The sequence below is a fragment of the Homo sapiens genome, chromosome 9, assembly GCF_000001405.40.
Source record: "Homo sapiens chromosome 9, GRCh38.p14 Primary Assembly".
In the NCBI taxonomy this organism is placed as follows: Eukaryota; Metazoa; Chordata; class Mammalia; order Primates; family Hominidae; genus Homo; species Homo sapiens.
The window spans coordinates 98,546,984-98,569,481 of record NC_000009.12 but is presented as its reverse complement, the minus strand read 5'-3'; the positions used below and the strand labels follow the sequence as shown (position 1 = coordinate 98,569,481).

Sequence of the window (22,498 nt, the reverse complement as noted above, 5' to 3'; positions counted from 1 at the left end):
CAGGACTCCTTTACTAGAAGCAGATCTCTGATTACGGCCATTGGAGTTTAAAGCTTTGCATGGACAACAGGGTTTTTTACTTTGACACTGCAGACTCTGAAAATAAGGAGTCAGGGATGGAATGGGGGCTCTTCAGCAAGATGCTCAAAGTACACACAACGTCTGCCTCTCAGCCCCCAACAGTCAAAACCCACCCAGGCCAGAATCCCGCCACAACCTGGCCCATGTGACTGCCACACCCTTCCACAGAGCACGCAAGTGAGCCTGCAGCCTTGATTGGAAACCATTTGGAAGTAGCAGTACGATGAGGCACAGCTGGAAACTGTTGCTGCTGCTCTCTAAGAAAGAGAATAGAGGCCAGTAATCCAGCACGGGTTGGAGCCATTTCTTTGCACTGGTCTCCAGGGGGGCCATTTAGCACATTAATAATCTATGAGATGCTTCCACCTTCTGGATTCATTAAAAACAAGAAGAAAGGGAAGAGGAGAAATGATGCTAAGGGCATGCACTATGGGCCAAGCAGAGAGGGCAGAAGAGACCCCAAGGACCTGGGGACTTTGGAGAGTCCTTCCTGGCTGTCATCAGATGCCCAGTGCAGTCAAGCCCAGTGTTGAAAGTGGGCAGCATGTCACACATGAGGTGAGGAAAAGCTTGGTAGCTTTTTGTTTGGATACAATTGGTAGAAGGAAGAAGGAACCCACAGAAGGGTTTTCAGGACAGAGAAGTCTGGTAGTTGGCTTGAAGCGGGACCCATGGTGGCCATGGCAACAGCATTCCTAGGACACAGGGCTGTGGGGCAGCTGAAGGCCACTGCAAAGGCCAGAGGGATGGAGAGGGGAACATGTGGCAGGCTCTGTGGTGGACAAAGTGCTGGCTGGTGACTGCCCCTCCCACCTCATTTGCCCCAAATCTCCCAGCTCCAGCACCCAGAGTCCCTTGAAGCTGCTCAGCTGCTCTGTGCTCTTTGAAGGCCCCAGCCTTCCCCTGAGTGGTCCCCCAAGCCTGCAGGCCCGTCCTCTCCTTTTCACCTTGAAAACCACGTCCAGCCTGTGAGAGCTGGCAAGTGAGTTGCTGGCTCTTCTGAGCCTCTGGGCATGTTACGCCATGTGTCCAGCATCCCTTGTTACAGGATTGTCTCTACACCACAGTGTCATCATTGTCTCCATTTCTGCCCCCCCATTTGACTGTGGTACCCTAAAGACAGTGGACATGTCTGATTAGTCTCTCCATGCCTGGTGCCACTTACAGGGACCCAATAATGTGTGTGAGGGATGGAGGGGGAGGTTCATTCCACAGCTTTGAGTTGGCCTGGGGTATCACTGCCCTTCATGATCCAAACCCCCACTCCTTTGGTGGAAGGGGTGGAGATGTGGTCCCCGCATCCAGCCTGGCTTGCGTGGATCCTGGCAGCACCCTCCGATCTTCAGGGGAAGAGAGGTTCTGTTCTTACTCATTCATCCATCCATCCAATCATTCATTCATTCACTGACTCATGCTATATTTATTCATTCATTCTCTCACTCAACAAGTGCAGCGCCTGCTGTATACTCTCCCAGGCTCTCCTGAAGCAGTGCAAATCCACCACCCAACACCACCACCCCAAAAGAGGGAGACATGGCAAAGAGGCAGTTTGATGCAGGAGACTGAACAGAGGACTGGAATTCCGAAGCTCCGGGTCATTTTCCCTCTGATGCCTCTCACTGACAGAGGGAACTTAGGCGAATTAGCAGCCCCCTCAGAGCCTCACTGAACTCACAGTATCAAGGAGGTAATCCCGTCCACCCTTCTGGGGCTATTGAGAGCATTAGATGGGACAGGGATGCTGGAGCATGTGGGAGCACTTTGCAGACCATCAGGCCCACTAAGATCTCAGGTGGTGATGTTACCGCAACTGTGATGCCAACCGGGCCCTGAAAATGTATAGGTCTCCATTTGTCTTCAGATCTAAAGTTGTGTGGATGAAATTAACTCTCACCGACCATGAAGATGATTCAGAACAGTAAAATTAAAACAGAGAACTTACAGGAGAGGCGAAAGAAGCCCCAGGCAGCTGTTAGAGGGCACACACACTCTTTCTGGTTTTCAGAGAAGCAGAGGTAGGTTAAAGAAGGGCTGGATGCTATCGAGGGCAGGGTGGTTCCCAATCTATTCCTGCAAGGACATACCCCATGTCTTTCCTGTTGGCCTGGTGAAAGATTCAATTTAAGGTTCTGACCCCTATTTTTAATTCAAGATCATGGTCTCTAAAGTAATATCAGTTCCCAATGTGTAAGTCCAGTGGCCTCATTGTTTATGCGTCTTTCACCGCCAGCCACTTCAACCCTTTTCTGGGAATATGTGGGCTGTAAATAATTCATTCTAAATAAATAAATCACTCGCGCTACTTACGGTACAGCTGGTGCTGCTAGTGATCGGCACAATTGTAGATTACACAGAGTTGAGTCTGGAATTACAGATTGCATCTAGAAAGAACTGGAGAGGGAATTTGAAAATGAGCTCCCTCTGGGGACAAACATGTAAAATGGGATTAACACCAGCCTAATAAGGTTGGGATGAGAGATAGAAATAATAAATGTGTCACACAGTGCTGGGCACCCAGCAGGCATGTAATCTTCTTCTTCTTCTTTCTTCTTCTTTCTTATTTCTTTTTCTTTGTCGCCTTTTTTTTTTTTTTTTTTTTTTTGACAGTGTCTTGCAGCCTTGACCTCCCATGCTCAAGTGATCCTCCCACCTCAGCCTCCCTGAGCAGCTGGGACTACAGACACATACTACCACGCCCAGCTAATTTAAATTTTTTTTTTCTTTTTGAGACGGAGTCTCAGTCTGTCACCCAGGCTGGAGTGCAGTGGCACAATCTCGGCTCACTACAAGCTCCACCTCCTGGGTTCAAATGATTCTCCTGCCTCGGCCTCCCGAGTAGCTGCAACTACAGGTGCCCGCCACCGTGCCTGGCTAATTTTTTGTAATTTTAGTAGAGACGGAGTTTCACAGTGTTAGCCAGGATGGTCTTGATCTTCTGACCTCATGATCCGCCCGCCTCGGCCTTCCAAAGTGCTGGGATTACAGGTGTGGGCCACTGCACCCAGCCATCAATATTATTCTTAAAACATCATTCCTGTAATTCATGAGTGAAGGTTACTATTTTGTTGAGGAAAATTGACTAAAAATGGGCTTTTTTTATGGCAGTGGTTCTCAAACTTCATGAGTATCAAGATCCCCTGGAAACTTGGTAAAATACAAAAACCCACTAGGCATAGGGTGACCAATCATACCTGTTTTGGGATTGAGAGTGCCCCAGGAAGTAGGACTGTGAGTATTCAAACCAGGAAAGTCCCAGGCTGGCCGGGACAAGTTGGTCACCTTCGCCAGCTCTCGTCCTGCTTCTAGGCGCCTCATCCTCTGTGCTGTGTGTTAGCACCCTGGGTGATTCTGAGGCACAGCCATGGGTGGGAACCACTGCCTTAGAGTGTGAGACTGGGAAGATGCCTGCTGAGCCGCTGGGCAGGTGCTCTGCGGACAGACACACGGGTGCATGTGGTGGCATGGCACTGACTGCCCCGTCCAGTGTTGTGTTTGGTAAGGTGTGTGGTGCTCACCTGTGCAGATGGGCAAATGGAGGGCCAGAGAGCCAACATACCAATAATACCGGGTACGCGTCTCAGGCTTGGGCAGATAGGCTGGGGTTCACATCCAGGCTCTGGTGCTTGTTAGCTGGTGCCTGGGGCAGGTTGCTTAGCCTCTTCCAGCCTCGGTTCCTGGTCTGGGGCTTGGCAGTGGCATTATACTGACCCTGGGTGCTGGTGCATTGCCTTCCTTCTTCCTCCTGTGGCCATCCACTCAAGGACATAGTCACCCAGGTGACATCTTGGCCTATCTGTGCAGGTAGAGACAGAGCCCTGGGATCTGGGGTCACCTCCATGGGATGAGCTATGTGGTCTTGGGATATCTCTTGCTCCTTGTGGGCCCCTGTGTAAGAGGAGTGGGTTGGGCCAGTTGATGGGCCTTGATAACCTCGATAATGTTGTGTCATTATGACCTGTGGCTCAGAGCCATCAGTGCCTGCCTTAAGCCTGGCATCGTCCCTCTTGGGCCTCTGCATGTGATTTCCCTGGGCTCATAAGGCCTGGTTTCCCCTCCATGTCTAGAAGCTGTGAGAAGGAACCAGGCAAGTGCTCAGGGGCTGAGGCCGCTCACACATGTAACTCCACACAGAGTAGAGGAGCAGCCTTGCAGCTGTGCCAGGCCTTCAGCTTTAATGTCTCTTGATCTCCGCCAGAGCTTTCCAGGTGTAGGACACCCCTTCTGCAGGAAGTGAGGCCCAGAGAGCTGATGTGGCCTGTGTAAAGTCATACCTCAGGTAGGGCAGAGAGCTGTGGTGCCAGCCTTTCTGGTGGCCTTCCCCGTCTGGTCCTTTCCCCTCATGCTAAGGCATAGAACCTGCTCCCCACAGCTCAAGAGCTGTTGCCCATGTTGTTCTCACTGCACGATGCCCTTTCTGCTCCCCCTCCTCCCCGGCTCAGTCCTCTGTATTTCCTGATATTTAGTTCAAGTCTTACCTCCTCCTCCAGGAAGGCTTCCTAGTCTTCCCCAACCCTGGTCCCAGCTGGAGGAGGTACCCAGCGTTTTCCTCACTTCCTTTGTTTTGCCCATTCCTCAATATATTACAATCCCTGATGAGGTTTCAGTGTCACCTGCCAAACAACTCCTTCAGGCCCAGACAGTCCTTGCCCATCTGAGTCTTAGCAGTACCCCAAGGGCCTTGCCTCAAGTAGGTGCTCAGGAATTGTGACTGGACACACCTGTAGGGCCTGTTAAAAAACTAATTTGTCACATGTCTATAGCCTTTGCCATGGGCCAGGCATGGTTCTAAACACTGTGCATAAATTAACTCATTCACTTCACATGCCAACCCTAAGAGGCTGTTATTCTCCTCATTTCACAGATGAGAAAACTGAGGCACAAAGAGGTTGAGTGCCTTGCCAAAGGATTGCCCTTCTTAAATGGCTCCGGAGTCCCTGCTTGCAACCGCAAGTCTACACTGCCTGTCACACAGTATCATGTAACCCTCACTGCACTACTTGGGGTTGAAGAGCAGGCGTTGTCCCAGTTAGGCCTGTTCTCAGATTGGGGAAAATAAGATTCAAAGAAAGTAGAGTCTGGCCCTGCTTCCTGCTGCAAGCAGGCCACAAGGTGAGGTCTCCCGAAGGCCTCTAAGAGTGGCCTCTCTGGGGGCCATGGAGGCTCCAGACTCCGGGTCTCTGCCTCCCTCTCCAGCTGTGTTGGCGAGGAACTTCCTGCCTGTCCATGGAGGACCCAGGCAGTACGTGTCCCCTGACACAGGCTGTGTTCTCCCTGTAAATCATTCATGACCCCCACACACCCACACATGCACACACACATGCATACATAGCACTTTTAAACTTATTACTCATTCAGTAACTTGTGTATAAAAAATAAATGATTCCTTCAAACTCAGAAAATAGATCGACTGGTTGTTGGTGAAAATCAATAACTATGCTAAGTATTTCAAGAATAGTACTTATAGTCCTACTCTGGATGATTTTATAAAGAATGAGCTGATTTTTTTTCTAAATAGAGCATAGTCTACATTAGTTGTGAATTATACAGAAGGCTTTTGCTTTGAATCTGTTTCCTAAGATGATTACATTATTTATTATTTCCATGATGAAGAGATTGAGCCTTATACAGTGGGAAGGGTTCAACTTGAGAAAAACAATCCTAGGTTAGATAACGATCTAGACATTCATAAATGCTGATTTAAGCATAATTTTCTCTATTTTCCCCATGTTCCCATAAAAGCTATTACATAGTACTGTCTTAGCCTCTTCTAACATGACATGTTGGCTTTGCAAGTATGAGGGAATGACTTCCTTCACATCCGGGGTGTCTTCTGAGACTCTGGGCCCATTCCTAGAGGATTGGGCACAGGGACCTTTGGCACAGCAAAGCTGTTTTGGCCCAATCCTCTGGCCCACGCTAACAAGAAGGCTTCAGCACCACTTGTTTGGGAAGCGTTTCCAGGGCGTGCCTCCGGTGGATGCGTCCGTAACCGGTAACCCTCGCTGCCCACAGCATGCTCACTTCCTCCTTCAGTGCAGTCTTGCCTGATAGTTACTGTTCTCTCTGTGAAGTCGAGGCAGCGTCTCCTTTGTTTGCCGGGGGAACCTTAGAGCCCAGCTCATGGCCCAGAATCCAGGAGAACCTCTGTGAATCTTTGGTTTCCATTTTGGTTTTCGGTGCTCTCAATCTTTCTCTTTAATGTAAGTAGCATCATGAATTCATAGATTTTCAAAAATATATTGAATGTACTGTATTTCAGTAAGTTGGAGACATTATTTTTCATGCAGACAGTGTTTTTGCTGCTCTTTTTTTTTTTTTTTTTTTTTTTTTTTGGACAGGGTCTCGCTCTGTCACCCAGGCTGGAGTACAGTGGCATGATCTCAGCTCACTGCAACCTCCATTTCCCGGGCTCAAGCGATCCTCCCCCCTCAGCCCCCCAAGTAGCTGGGATTACAGGCGCACACCACCATACCCGGCTAATTTTTGTATTTTTTGTAGAGATGGAGTTTCGTCATGTTGCCCAGGCTGGTCTGAAACTCCTGACCTCAAGTGATCCTCTCACCTAGGCCTCCCAAAGTGCTGGGATTGCAGGTGTGAGCCACAATGCCCAGCATTTGCTGCTCTATTTATGTTTCTACCTTTCCCCCAAAATTCTCCTCCAATTTTGTTATTTTGAAAGTTACTTTAACCTGCAACAAGAAGTTAAAGTACAATGAACATCATTTACCCTTTATCTGGATTGACAGTTGTTTACATTTTGCCATATTTGTTTTTGCTTTTCCTCTCTTTCCCTGCACCACCCCCACACACACGCTCACACAGTCACTGATTTTTTTGTTGAAGCATGTGATATTAGTTTGCACACACAATGACACTTCACCCCTAATACATTAGCATGCATCTCCTAAGACAATTATATCCTCTTACATAACCCTAATATAACCACATCTGAAAAATTTAACAGTGATACAATAATATTACCAAATATATGGTCCATATTGAGATTTTTCCAGTTGTCCCAAAATTGTCCTTATTGGAATTTATTTGGACACAAGCAAGGAACATGCATTGTCTTTGTTGCCATATATTTTTGGCTTTCAGGACAGTGATCTTTTTTTTCAGAAAACCCAAGCCAGTTGTTTTATAAAATGTCCCACAATTGTCATTTGTTTCCTCATGATTAGATTCATGAGTTTTGGCAAGAATACTACATTTTTTATGCTGTGTTCTTCCCAGTGCATCGAGTCAGGGGGCCCAGGATGTCAATTTGAACTATTATTGATGATACTAAATTTGATCACTTGGTTAAGGTGGTATCTTCCAAATTTATTGTAAATATACATTTTTCCCCCTCTGTAATTATGAAGTAATCTATGGGGTGAAACGCTGAGACCGTATGACTATCCCATTTCCTCACAAGCTTTTACTCAATGGTTTTAGCATCAATTTATGATGCTTGCCTGCCTCAGTATCATATTGGTGTTGCAAAATGGTAATTTTCTTTTCTTTCTTTTTTTGAGAGACAGTCTCATTCCATCACCCAGGCTAGAATGCAGTGGCACGATCATAGCTCACTGTAACCTCAAACTCCTGCGCTCAAGGGATCCTCCTGCCTTAGCTTCCCCAGTAGCTGGGATTATAGGCACATGCCACCATGCCAGGCTAATTTTAAAATTTTTTTGTAGAGACGGAGTCTCGCCATGTTGCTCAGGCTGGATTCAAACTCCTAGGCTCAATCGAGCCTCCTGCCTCGGCCTTCCCGAAGTGCTGGGGTTATAGGTGTGAGCCACTGCACCCAACCTCATTTTCTAATTATATTCCTTCTACATTTAAGCCTGCATTCTTCTCTCCAGAACAGCTTTCCCTTTTTTGACTCTTTCTTCTCCTCCTCCTGCTTCTTTCTGTTTCTCTTCCCCTACTAATTTGAGCACTTAATATTTTACCTGCCTTAGTCTTGGAATCAGCCATTCCTCCATTCCTCCATTCCAGCCATTCCTCCAAGGAGCCCTGATTCTTCCTGGTAGGAAATTGTGTTAAGAAACCAACATTTGGGTACTAGGTATACTTGTTGCTACTGGGGTTCATTCCTTCACGGTTTTTTTTTTTCAGTGGAATGAGCTTGAAAATATAATTTTTAATATCTTTAAAGTGTTTAAACTGTAATCTATGAGGAGATAATCAGACAAATATGGGTCATTCTATAATTTACCTGGCCTGAATTCTTAAAAAGTCCATATTGTGGAAAACAATAAGAAAAACCATATAAAGCCAACCTAGGCCTGTTGTAATCAAAAAATTAAAAAAATGCCAACCAAAAGCAAGGCGTGAATATTGACTGGATCCTGAATTTTTAAAACAAAAGGGCATTTTTGGGAAATTGAAGAAATTTGAATATGGACTACGCATTAGATGATACTGAATTATTGTTCGTTTTCATAACTGTGATAATGACATTATAATGATATAGGATAATTTCATTCTTTCCAAGATGCACTCTGAACTATTTAGTTATGAGGTATCATGATATTTGTAAGCTAATTTCAAATGCTTCAAAAACATCATTAAGTGTATGTGTGTGCATATATGTATATGTGTGTCTATGTATATATATATATATACACTACTATATAGTATATATATAATACTAAATATAATATATACTATATATTTAAAAAGAGAGAGAGGAAAGCAGATGTGGAAAATGGTGAATCTAAGTGAAAGTATTCCTCATGCTATTGTTTCAACTTCTTTGTTTTAAATATTTTTATTTAAATATTTTTGGATTTATAGGAATGCTATACAATGTTCCTCGTACTATTCTTTCAACTTCTTTAAATATTTTTCAAAATAAAAAGTTGTGAATGCGCCTGTGTGTGTGTATGTGTGTATGTGTATTTTGTGTGTATGTGTGTGTGTGTATATGTGTGTGTGTGTGCATGTATATATGTGTGTGTGTGTATGTGTGTGTGTGTGTATGTGTATATGTGTGTGTGTGTGTATGTGTGTATGCGCACACGCACGTGTGCTGGGTGGTGGGATAGTGGAGAGGAAGAATATGTCCTCCTTGGCTGGACAGTGAAAATGTGTCCAAAAGTCTCTTTACACATTTTTCTCCATGTGACTCTATTAGAAACTTAATATATTCCTAGATTCCTTTGTCCTGGTTTGTTTTCACTGTTTAGGGGTTGATTTTTTTTCTCCTTGTTGATTAATTTTATTTTAAAAACTATACACAACTTTTATATGATTCCATAGTCAAATGTATAGCAGAGAATTCTTGGCTCCAATCTAAGCTCTCTCCATTCTGTTCCATGCCATCCTTATATAATGTGACCATTGTTATTAGTTTTTAATTTATCCTTCCAGTTTTTCTTATTGAAAATATGAGCAAGTGTGTGTGTGTGAGTGTGTGTGTGTGTGTGTGTTTGTTCCTCATTTCTTCTTTTTATGCAAAGGGAGCATACAGTCTACACTCTTCTGCACCTTGCTTTTTTTTTTACTTAATTTTCCCAGATTTCACTGTATTATCACTGTAGAAAGGCATTCCTTATTTTTTTTTTCACAGATGCACAGCCCTGCTTTGTATGGATGTACTGTAGTTTGTACAGCCAGTCCTCTACTGATGGACATTTGGATTATTTCCAATCTCTTGGAATAACCTTGGCCACATTGTCACATTTGTGCCAGTGTAAACTGGGTATGAATTCCTAGAAGTGGAATTTCTGGGTCAAAGGATAAATGCATCTATAATTTTTCTAGAAAATAAATCTTTGTTAAGAAAACTAATGAATGAACTTGATTTAAAAGAGCTGAAAGTAAAAGGCTAATATCTAAATGGAGACATAAAACAATTAGAATAAATAAATCTCTTTGTGAAAGAGGCTGATTTAAAACCTTTCTGGTGGCATTATCTCTGGTTCAGCAATTTTCATTTTCTTGCCCAAAGACAGAATACTTTCTCTTTGGTTTGTAAATTAAACATATGGCTCACGCCTGTAATCCCAGCACTTTGGGAGGCCAAGGTGGATGGATCACTTGAGGCCAGGAGTTTGAGACCAGCCTGGCCAACATGGCGAAACCCCATCTCTACTAAAAATACAAAAATTAGCCAGGAGTGGTGGTGCATGCCTGTAGTCCAAGTTACTGGGGAGGCTGAGGTGGGAGGATTGCTTAAGCCCAGGAGGTGGAGGATGCAGTGAGCAGAGATCACACCACTGCACTTCAGCCTGGGCAACAGAGTGAGACCCTGTCTCAATAAATAAAATAAAAATAAATTAGTTAATTAAACATATAATTACTAAATCATGAAATTTTAGAGCTGAAATAAAAACTACCTAGAACAGTCTTCTTCAGGAAACCGAGGCCCAGAAAGGGGAAGGAAGGAACAGAAAGACTAAGAAAAAAAACCAAATTGAGTCCAATTCCATGCAATTTAATAAACAGTAAGTGAAAGAGCTTCTTTGTAATAAAGCATGATGCTTGTTTTCAGTTTCTACGAAGAGTCAAACATAGAACTGTACTATTGAGATCCCTGGAGATACCCTATCAGCAGCATGTGGTTCAGATCCCTGAGTGCTTTGCTGTCACAGTGACAACTCCTTCAACAGAACTCGGTGTCAATGGACTTTGTTTCACATCTTTTGTGTTATTCTAGGGCATTTCAGTGTAGTCATGATGAGACACTGGATCAGCTGGAGGGTTTGAGTGGCTGTGGGCGTCCTGGCTGATGATGTGAGTGGTCATGTTTGCTCAGGATAGTCTGAAGTTACATAATTGTGGCACTGGAAGGATTCTGTTTAGATTCTGAGCAGGCAATGTGGAGAAGCGAATGGGTTTAGCCCTGCCAGCCATGAACTTGGGGGGCAAGACTGGGCAAATCCCTTCTTTCTGGTCCTCTGTGTATAAAATGAAGAGTTGGACAAGCCCAGAATGGCACATAAATAAATGGCACCCATGGTATTATTTTATCCTTCTATGCTAATTGTAGACATAACTAATAGATCACTAAATGCTCATTCTTCACTCCCTTAGCCCACTTCTCAGTAGCCCCCATCAGCCCACTGGTGATACGGCATAGGTTCAGCCCTTTACCACAGCTGGCCTGAATGGTTACTTAGGGTTAGCAGGTAGAATACAGGATGCCCAGTTAAATTTGAATTTCAGATACACAAAAAGGTTTTTTGCTTTGTTTTTTAATGCAAGAATGTCCCAAATGTTGCTAAATCTGGCAAAGCTATCGCTTAGGCCATTTCCATTATTTGTTTTTTTTTCTATGTAGCTGATTTCTCTTAAGATAGCTACCCTCTCTTCTTGACACTTCTGATAGTGCCTATTCCCCAGTGCCCAGATAAAAGTCTAACTCATTCTGTAATTGTTTAAATTCACATTATGACCTAATTTAATTGAAGGTGATAGAGATTTGGGTAGGAGACGTTTATTTCTAAGGACCATATATTCTGGTAAAAAACTCTTTGATGAACCTGTAATCCCATGTATCCCTGACGTTATCATTTTCATATCACTTTCTTGACTCTGCCAATGCAAGTACAACTTGTATTATTAACTTAATTAGTATGTTCCCTTAAACTGACTCATAATTTTATCTAAATGCCATGAATGAAAAATCAGTATCATTTACTAAGAAGGTAGTATAAAAGCAAATTAAGGAAAAGCATGTCTCTTAGGGTATAAAATAGTCATCTGGGACTCACTTGAAGTCACTGAGTATGCTCCCTGGGATACAAAGCACACCACTGACTAATTCAACTCCCTGCTGATTTGGGAATCCCCTCTGTGACTCTGGCAGATGATCCCTGAGGATCTTCTTGAATACCTCCAGTGCTGGGGAACTCAGTACTTTGCAAGATTTTGATTCACTCTTGAATACCTTACTGTGAACGGTTTCTTCTTCATATTGACCGTATCAGCCTCCCTGAAACAGTTACACATGGACCCTGGTTTTCCCTCTGAGACCCCACACAGTAAGTTTGCTCCCTCTGCATTCATTTATTCAACACATAGTTGAGTGCTTATTCTGTGACAGTTTGGATGCAATGACAGTACAGGTGATAAGGTCTGATGGAGGTGCAGTAGGGGAGACACCCCCTGCGTAGACTGGAGGTAGGAAGGTGTTCAGAAAGGCTTTTTCAGAGGGGAGTGAGGGAGAGCCTGCTTTGGGAAAGAGAAGGCTGGAGTGAGGGGGTGAGAGAGGACGCTGGAGCAAAAGAGGTGGAGAGGGAGCAGGCCAAGTGGGCCTCATAACCCTCATCTCCTCATCTTCTATTATAGCACTAGGACTCACTTCCTATAAAACATGTTCATATTCCAAGTTCTCAGTGTGTTTACTTATTTATTTTTGAAGTAGGGTCTTGCTGGGTTGCCCAAGCTGAAGTACAGTGGCACTATCACGGCTCACTGCAGAATTGACCTCCCAGGCTTAAGCAATTCTTCTGCCTCAGCCTCCCAAGTAGCTGGGACCACAGGCATGGCCACCGTGCTTGGCTAATTTTATTTTTTTCCATAGAGATGGGGTTTTGCCAATTTGCCCAGACTGGTCTCCACTTCCTAGGCTCAAGCGATCCGCCCACCTCAGCCTCCCAAAGTGCTGGGATTCAGGCGTCAGCCACCGCACCCGGTCTCAGTTTATCTTTAACAGAGCCCTGGAGAGTTAGTCAGGGCAGGACTTATTCTCCCCATTTTACAGTTAAGGAAACTGAGGCCTAGCAGGTTGGTGGCGGGTTTGCAGCTGACCAGAGGAGCTGGGTCTGTGTGTTCTACAGGCACACAGCGGCACTCACTTCCGGGTGCTCTTGCCCATGCGCAACCCCAGCCCCGCCCCAGCCACTGATCCTGGATGACCCCCTGCCCCATGGAATAAAACTTCTCGTTCTGGGAAAGCATCTTTGAATCTTTGATCTTGACTCAGCTAAGTTTCCTCTGGACTGACCATGAAGCACATTTCAGAGGTGTGGAGTCTCGTGCTCCACTTTCTTGCCTGTGGAAAGCGTTGGCTCACAGGGTAAACTGAACCTAGGATGACCCCTTCTTCTCGAGCCCCGGTGTCCCTGGGATTGGGGCTGTGAGGTGCCCAGTGACTGCCACACTGAAGGCCCTCCCATGTCCTCTGAGTGTCAGCGGGCAGGTGGCTCTCAGGCCTCCTTGGCAAGCTTGGCCTGTCTGGTTGAGTGATTCCTTGGTACGAGTCTGCCGCTCAGAGCTTTGCCTGAGCTCTATCTACTCAAGGGGATGGGGCGCAAACCCTGTTTTCCTCAGCCAGAGAAACCAGCACTTTCCTTCCTCCTCTGTTCTGTTTTGTGTGACAACTGGGTGAGTTCCTGTCTAAAGAAGACAAGTGTGAAGGCATTTTGTGACCCTCCTGTCTCCCTTTCCCCTCCATGTCTCCCATGGCTACAGAGCAAACTCACAGACAGCCCTCAATGAGCTCATAGAGCAGTCAGTGAAGTGGGCCTGGCTGCCCATCACTTCTCAGTGCCTCACCACAAAGGGAAGAAACAGTGCTGGGAGAACTGAGGGAGAGCAGGGAAGGCTCCCTGGAGGAGGTGTCTGTGAGTAGGCCTGGACAAATGAGTAGGAAGTATGATCCCAGAAGTAAGAAATGCTGCATCCTCTCCCACTCAAAGACTCGAGCTGGGGCCCCAGCACCCCCGACCCCTGACAGATGTGATTTCAACTTGTGGACTGATCAGAGGTGCCATATTGACATGAGGAGACATGATTTCTGCAGTGAGGTAATTAAAAGGCGGTTGGCTTCACAGCTGTGATCACACGAGAACACTTCTTACCCCTAAAGACATCAGCTGAAAGCCAAGTGCAAAGGAGCCGAGGAAACCAAAGAGGCTTCTAATGTAATTTGTTAATTTCCTGCATTTGTCACCTGCACAGCTGTGAGGGGAAAATGGAACATTTTACCAGAAGTTTAAGAGAAAATTAAAGACATACATTCTAATTGTACACAATTAGACAAGCAATACAATCATAATTATTTGTTTAATTAACAAACCATTTTAAAATAATAGATTAGGATTTGGACATCCTGCTTTAGAATGATGTCCCTGCCTGGTGGCAGCCACTTGAGTTTGAGCAAATCCTTTCCTTCGCTGAGGCTTCTCATCTGTAAAATGGGTATGCTCCTCCCCTGCCTTCCCTAGGGAGGTGGAATATTGCAGGAAAGGGCTTTGTAAATTAAAAGGCCCTGTGTGATTGTAAGAAATACCATCTAATTCTCCTAACTTAGTTCTTGTAACTTTTAAGTCTAGAAATTGTGGTCTACTGTAAGCCATCATTAATTGGGCACTTGTGCTATTCCAACCCTCACGACAGCCCTGAAATGGGAATGTGCCTGTCTGACCCCAGTCCATTTACAGAGGAGGAGACTGAAGTTCCCAAAGTTGGAGGAGTCTTCTGAGGTTGCACAGGGAGGGGCGGAGGTGGCATTCAGACACAGCCTGTCCAAACTGAAACCCAGCATTCTTACCCTTATGAGCCACACTGCTTTCTCAGCATCGACTTGGTTTTGCCATTTCTCTAATTTACTCCCATTTTTGACTTAAAATAAAAGGATTTGCGGAACTAATAGTTGTTTTCCAATCTTCTTTACGTCAAATAATAATAGAAATGTTAAAGAAGGGAGTGAAGAAGGTAATAAAGAATCATAGAATGCCATATAGCAAAAACAATTATATCTTAAAGAGCAAAGCATTAAATGACTTCACAATTTATCATAATAAATAAATGCTGTCTCTTAAACTGGGTGATAGGCAGCTGGATATTGGTTTTGCTATTATTCTTTAAAAGTATCTAACGTGCTTATGTATGTAGTTTCTATTTGATAATAGAAGTTTAAAAAGAAGAACGTCCAGGATGAAGAATGTTTTTAAATATACGTACGATTTTTGTTTCATATGTTTTCATTGGACCATCTTAGAGAATCAAAAGCATACTAACCCACTGATGAAGTATTATTGTTTTTTCTTTTAAATAAATTTTATTTTTTCTTTTCTTTCTTTTCTTTTTCTTTCTTTCTTTGACAGGGCCTCACTCTCGCTCAGGCTGGAGTGTAGTGGCATGATCCTGGCTCACTGCACCCTTAAATCCTAGGCTCAAGCGGTCCTCTTACCTCAGCCTCCCAAGTAGCTGGGACTACAGGCACCCGCCACCATGCCCGGCTAATTCTCTCTTCTTTTAAATTGCCCTGGTTGCTTTCTAGTCTTAGCCTCAGATGCCTCCCTGAGAAGCAGCCCAGAAAATTGGAGCGAGGACGTCATTCTAAGAACCAAAGTCCCAAACCCTAGCCTTGCCATTTGTTAACATGCGGCTTTGAGTAAGTCACCTGATTTTGAGTAAGTCACCTCTCTGAACATCAGTTTCCTTATCTAAAAAATGAGGGTAATAATAAAGTCTACTCTACTGATATCATGGGTTTTTGTGAAGATCAAAATTAGACTAGAGAAGTAAATATGTTTTGGGAATTGTTAAATCACAGAGAAGAATCATAGCACTCTGCAGAATGAGCAGGGACTTGTGACATTAGTCTCCCTGCTCTGCCAGTTGCTTGCGGAGTGATCATGTGCAAGTCACTTATCCTCTCCGAGGCTCAGTCTCCTCATCTGGAAAATGCAGATCAGAATCACATCTACTTCATAGGGTTGTTTTGCACATTAAGTGAAGAAGTGAATGCTAAGCCCTTCATGCAGTGCTTGCTCCACGGTACGTGCTCATTATTTCATAATTTCAAGAAGTCAAAATATCTAAGCTCAGGTCCCAGCTTTGCCTCTTTTTTTTCCTCTTTTTGAGAAGGGGTCTCCTCTGTCACCCAGGCTGGAGTGCAGTGGCACAATCACAGCTTACTGCAGCCTCAATGTCTCAGACTCAGTTGATTCTCCTGCCTCAGCCTCCCGAGTAGCTGAGACCACAAACTCGAACCACAATGCCTAATTTTTTGCATTTTTTTGTAGAGATGGGGTTTCGCCATGTTGCCCAGGCTGGTCTTGAACTCCTGGCCTCAGGCAATCCTCCTGCCTCGGCCTCCCAAAGTGCTGGGATTACAGGTGTTAGCCACCGCACCTGGCTGCTTTGCCTCTTACTAGCTATGGGGCCCCAGGCAAGTCACTATACCTCCCTGAGACTCAGTTTCTCCCACAGGAAACAAAGGCACTAATGTCTCCCTTACAAATTGTCACAAGTTCCCAATAAGAATATGCTGAGTGCAGTGGCTCACACTTATAATCCCAGCACTTTTGGAAGCCAAGGCAGGAGGATCACTTGAGGCCAAGAGTTTCAGACCAGCCTGGGCAAAATAGCGAGACCCCTGTCTCTACTAAATATAAAAAATAAAAAAAATAGCCAGGCATGGTGGCACGTGGGTATAATCCCAGCTACTCAGGAGGTAGAGGCAGGAGGATGCTTGAGCCCAAGAGTTCCGGGCTGCAGTGAGCTATGATCATGCTACTGTACCCCAGTCTGGGTGACAGAGTGAGACCCTGTCTCTAAGAAAAAGAAAAAGAAAAAAAGGACTGGCCACAGCAGGGGGTGGTAAAAGCTGAACTGCTGTGCATTTGATGAAAAACTAAACCTCATTAACAGAAAGGAGAAATGATTGTTCCCCAAGAGGTTCTAGCCCAAGCTCTCTCTGACTAAAGAGATTTAAAATCTTACAGCCAGTCTATGCACGATACCCCAGAAGGCCTTTTGTTGGAGTGGGGCTTCCAGAACTCACTCAAATGCCAGGCATTCATTTTCCCTTGTTAACTTGGGAAATGCTTTGCAGCCACCCCGCATCACATTAATCTCACCGGCATCTATGTTGAGGCACTTTTTGTCCAAACAGTTTTTCACCAGGGCTTGAGCACAGCGGCGACCTGGCGCAGACCTGAAGTGGACCCGAGTTCCCAACACACACAGCCTGGGGCCTTTGTATACATCCTGGCACTGGCCACAAACAGTGTTTTGTCAGAAGCTTCCTGAGAAAGTTGCGTTCCATTCATCTCAGCTGAAAGGAACCCTAGATGACAAATACCTCCCTCATTTAATTACAGAAACAGTCAGCAAAGTCGTGGAAAAAGATTAAACCAACAGAGAAAAGAGCAAGCCTCAATCATTTTCTCATCCCTTTGCATTTGGCCTGAGTTCCTTACCTAGGACTTAGCAACTGTGGTCCCCCCTGCCCGGTTATACCTGCCTCCTGAAAAAAATGGTTTATTTTTGCAGAGAAGCTAAACTCGGATGCCCCAAAACAGGTGAAGAATGAATTGCATTTAGGCAAGAATTCGTCAATGCCTTGGAATGTCATAAAGATCCTGAAGCTGGGAGATGAGTTTACATTTTTCGTCTGGGTTCGTATCTGCAAATGGAAGTGAGGCACAATGGCAGTTATCTGAATAAATCAGATTAAATAAAACACACACCCACACAAGACCAAGAAACTCCTTAATCATTTTCTTCAATGTTCGCGAAGCATAGATTTTTGTGGTTGCAGAGAACCTTTGAAATCTTTGGTCCAATCCATCACTTTCAGAGATGAGAAAAACAGACATCTAAAAGGGGGGAAATGACTTACCCTTGTTCTCTCAGTCACAGGGACAGGGTTAAGCCTAAATGTCCCGGCTCCCTAAAGAGGCCTCGTAGCTGCATGAGCTCACCACTTCTCTCTGCATTCAGGTGCTGCTTGTTAAAGTGACTCATGGTTCAGTATGCAGGCCCTGAACGCTCATGAAACATATCACGGCAGGCTAGAGGCCTCCAGCTGGAGAGAGATGCTCATGGCTCTCTTCCCACCCCATGCTGCTGGTTAAATATGTCTCCTCCAAAACTTGCTGTGTTTGAGAGGCCCTGGAAGCCATGGCATAAATTGTTCCCTCCCTGGTCTACTGGATGACCTTTCTGGGCCACAGTTTTTTCAGGTATAAAATGGATCATAATTTCTACCTTGGGTAATCTGTCTGAAAGTTTTTGTTTTGTTTGGTTTGGTTTGGTTGAGACAAAGTCTTGCTCTGTTTCACTCGCCGAGGCTGGAGTGCGGTGGCATGATCTCAGCTCACTGCAACCTCTTCTTCCTGGGTTTAAGCGATTGTTCTGCCTCAGCCTCCTGGGTAGCTGGGATTACAGGTGCCCACCACCACGCCCGGCTAATTTTTGTATTTTTAGTAGAGACAGGGTTTCACCATGTCGGCCAGGCTGGTCACAAATTGCCGACCTCAAGTGATCTACGCACCTCGGCCTCCCAAAGTGCTGGGATTACAGGCATGAGCCACTGCACCTAGCCCTGTCTGAAAGTATTAATCACCAAGTCAGACGTGTGTTCATAAAAACTCTCCTTTGGATGGCTTAGACTGTGGCTGGCCGATTGGGTGGTTGGGTCATTTCTCCATTCATTCATCTATCCACTGTCAAGCAGGCTTTACTCTCAGGCATGTTAGAGAATGGATTTTTTTTTTGAGTGAGTGTAGGATGAGGAAATAAAAACAAAAATCCTGTCCCCCAGGAAGATTGCAAAGGATCCCCCGTGTGAACAGACTCTCCACAAATCCAGTATCTATGAACTCTCTGGCAATCATAATCACAGGGAATGCAGGGGACTTTATGCATCTGTAAAGCTTCAGAGTCCACAAAGTTCTTTTACATCCTGCCATCACCCCTCCAAAGCAGGCAGGGCAGAGCTTACAATCTTAGTTCTACAGATGCAAGAAGGACTAGTGGCCTAAGTTTGCACAGCTGGGAAAAGACAGCGTTGAGGTCCAAATCCAAGGTCTTTGGAGTCCAGGGGTCTGAATCACACTCAGCTGCTGCCCGTCTTTGCCAGGATGTCTCTGGGATTCAGACTGAGGGGCTTGTATCATTTCTGAGGGGCTGTGGTGGTGAGGATGGAGGCAGTATGACTTAACAGTACTGGTTCCACTCCTCCATTTCTAAGTTGCATGATCTTGGACAAGTTCCTTTTTTCTTTTTATATTGTGGTAAAATGCACAAGATAAAATTCGCCATTTTAACCATTTTAAAGTGGATGAGTCATTGTCATTGAGTACATTCACAACGTTGTTCAACCATCACCACTATTTAGAGCTGAAACATTTTCATGCTTTCTTGGGCATGAAAGCTTTTGTGCTTTCGCCCCAATTTGCTTTGTTGGGCAAGTTTTTTAACCTCTAAGCCTCGGTTTTCTTATCCATACGATTACTAACGGCACCTGCCACAGGGTTGTTGTGAGGATCAGGTGGGATAACTGGGAAGACTTGGCATAGATAAAAGGTGATGGGTGGGGGGCAGTTATACTAAATTTGTATACTGAGAACTAGGTTATAGGATTTGGACAGGACTATCTTGACGCTCCAGGATGAAGGTCAAAGCTGCTTCACCTTGCCCATATGCTGGCTTCAAGGCAACCACTCATAGTGCTTAATTCTTTGTGAACTTGGTCCTTGACACCAAGATTCTGGAGGATTTTGCCACTCCTCTGGCCAGGTGGCCATGGATAGTTCAGGGGAGCCATCAGGCCCTGTGGTCTGGTCGTAGATTGGGTAGTACCTGGATGCCATCATTATCAGAAGCACTCAGGTCACTTCCTGGGGTGGGAGTGAAAGAATGAGATGCTATTTAAGGATCTTCTGTGGGCCAGGATGTGCTCAAGACTCCCTGGGCAACTGCTCAAAACAAAGAGAATGCTGGTGATCCAGGTTTAGCCTGGCTACAGACTGGGGCAAGCAGGGCGGTGGGCAAAAACCCCATTCAGTGCCCAGAGCTGGCCAGTATGGGATGAGCTGGGCAGTCTTATCCACCAGCCCCCAGGGGCATGGCAGCACCACCACATTAGAGAGCAGTTTGATGGTACCAATCATGAACCTTAAAAACCTTCACACCACCTTGTGGTTTAAATGGCATCTGAACAACGTGAAAGAGGGTGCCAGGCCCTGCCACATATTTGGTTAAGTCAGACTAAATTTATTCGTGATTTTTCTAATACTTTTACTAAACTGACTTGAACTTTATTTTTGCAATATTTGAGAACATATGGTTTACTAAATAAATAAATGGCATAAACCAAAAATGAAAAAAAAGGGTATTTGGCTACTCAATAAAACATTTGGTACCCAATAAAACATTTTTTTAGCTTTCCTTTGAAACTATCAAAACATGGAAAAGAAGCCAGGCACAGTGGCTCACGCCTGTAATCCCAGCACTTTGGGAGGCCAAAGCAGGTGGATCACCTGAGGTCAGGAGCGCAAGACCAGCCTGTCCAACATGGTGAAACCCCCATCTTTACTAAAAATCCCAAAACAAAAAGAAATTAGCTGGGCATGGTGGTGGGTGCCTGTAATCACTGCTTGGGAGGCTGAGGCAGGAGAATCGCTTGAACAATCGGGAGGCGGAGGTTGCAGTGACCTGAGATTGCACCACTGCACTCCAGCCTGGGCGATAGAGCAGGACTCCATCTCAAAGAAAACCAACCAACCAAACAAATAAACAAACAAAAAAACATACACATACATACACTCTCAAGGAACCAAGAGACCCCAATACTCATTGATATTCTAGATGTTTAGAAGCTTCATTAATTACAAAGTAGATGGCTCTAGATTGAGAAAATCCTAAGCTTTGCTTCCTAGCATTCCAAACCTTGCCTCATAAAATAACAATTGTGTTGAAAATTAACAGGTAGACCTTTTCCTTTCTCCCCTACAATCTGAGTTAGACTCAGGACTCATATCAACTAGAAAATTGGATAGCTATTGCCTCTACCTAACAGTTGCTGATCTCTGAGACAACCAAATTGCTTTTTTCTCTTTATTCTCATCTCTCTTTCACTAAACTCAGACAGAGCTATACATTCCTAGGGGGAAAAAAAACCTGGATGAGAAGAGGAGGGGAGCACACTAGATGTGAATTGCATTCTGGGAAGCAGAGACTTCCCACATGAAATTTTTTAGGCAGGAAAGAAAAACCCTAGCAGCAGTGCAGGAAGGGAATTTAATGTACTGTGTTGATCTAGAGTATTAGAAAATTGGGCACTGAGGGTAAAAGATGATGTCACTTATTTAATGTAGACCAGCCTAAGGTGAAAGCCTACTAGACACCAAAAACTGTGCTTAAATACTTATTCTCCGGCCTTCTGAGAAGTATATGCAATTAAAACGTAAATAGAAAACAGGGCCAAGTGCCGTCCACATGTGTCTCTTGATAAGCCCAGCCTGAAAACACTTGCTTTGCTTTTGAGGATTAATAAATTTAAAACACCTTTGAAAAAGTACTTCAAAAATAATGAAAAAAAGCAGAGTACTCAGAAGAAGTGGAGGAAGAGTCCATCTCTGAAAATGATCTATTGTAGGATAAAGAAGAAAACTTTAGAAAGATGTGTAGCCTCCCCAATCATATGCAGCAAAGCAGGCTCCATGAAATAGCCTGCAATTGGAGGATGGGGCGAAAAGGGAGATGATCATGAAAAATTCATAGGAAACTAAAAATGTCAATAACACAATACAAATATGTTAAAGTCAATAAGGCTTAAAACTGAGGCTGTTGAAAAGCAAGTCAGGCAACTCACAGAACAAAGAACCCGAATAGCTAACATGTCTATGTATCACCACTCAGCCACATTCCAGGCAAAGCACTGCAAAATCAAACAATAATGAAGTACCACTTTATCTCTGAAAGACTAACAAAAATTAGGAAGTCAGATAATATCAAATACTGGCCAGGATGTGAAGAAATGAGAATACTTATGTCCTACAGCTAGGGCTGTGGGTACAGCCATTTTACCAGAAAATAGTGAAAGCTAATATGCACATACCTTGTAATAAAATACAGTAAAATAAGATGCTCTTCTAGATTGAGGAGGACAAGGACTAAGAGATGCAATTATGAAAAGAAAATAGGACAGATATGGATTTAGAGAATGAGGAGACAACATACAGATAATCCTGTGGCCCAGAGGAGAGACAAGAATATATAGGAATATAATATAAATATATATATGATAAACATACTACATATGCTATATTTATTATGTATAATATATACAATATTATAAATGTATATGTAATAAATATGTTAAATATATTATAAAAATATAAATATAAAACAATATACACAATATAAATATAGCATAGTCATTTTATATATATATATTAGGTTTTTTTTTACTGAGTTGGAAATACTTGAGTGTATGGATTGTATACAGGTCGTGTATAGGGCTCTCTTTATCCCAAATAAAATCAAGAGTGCGATTTTTTTGAATTCCAGGAATAAGGGGAAAAAAAATCTTTCAGGCTTCCAGGTAGAGGAAACTGGGTACCTACAAATGAACGACAATCAGTGACAATCAAGCCAGCCCCAAATTTCTCCTCTGCATCACTTTGTAGTTTCAAAGGGGAGAAATGGTAGCCCAAGAATTTCATGCCCAGCCAAA

At 44.1% G+C, this 22,498-nt stretch overlaps 1 protein-coding gene across 2 annotated transcripts in view, besides 2 other annotated features; it reads left to right on the top strand.

Annotated features, from left to right (window-relative positions):
• Positions 1 to 22,498, top strand: part of GABBR2 (gamma-aminobutyric acid type B receptor subunit 2) — a 420,827-nt gene that overhangs the window by 139,454 nt on the left and 258,875 nt on the right. The window contains exon 1 of one of the 2 annotated variants that reach the window (XM_017015331.3): positions 13,494 to 13,829. The exons of the other annotated variant lie outside the window; for it this stretch is intronic. Coding sequence (XP_016870820.1) covers positions 13,665 to 13,829 — 165 coding nt within the window. The 5' untranslated portion in view covers positions 13,494 to 13,664. Of the gene's footprint in view, positions 1 to 13,493; positions 13,830 to 22,498 lie in introns of those variants that run through there. 2 annotated transcript variants of the gene reach the window in all.
• Positions 3,035 to 3,535: an enhancer, noted in NCBI's record as "H3K4me1 hESC enhancer chr9:101328229-101328729 (GRCh37/hg19 assembly coordinates)". NCBI's record gives its function as "activates a minimal SCP1, AML or CMV promoter by ChIP-STARR-seq in primed H9 embryonic stem cells {active_cell/tissue: H9 hESC(primed)}" and the evidence as "EXISTENCE:reporter gene assay evidence [ECO:0000049][PMID:30033119]".
• Positions 5,667 to 5,836: an enhancer, noted in NCBI's record as "experimental_103859 CRE fragment used in MPRA reporter constructs". NCBI's record gives its function as "activates a minimal promoter by MPRAs in K562 erythroleukemia cells, with activity observed for both the introgressed and non-introgressed 9:101326013 variant alleles {active_cell/tissue: K562}" and the evidence as "EXISTENCE:reporter gene assay evidence [ECO:0000049][PMID:34662402]".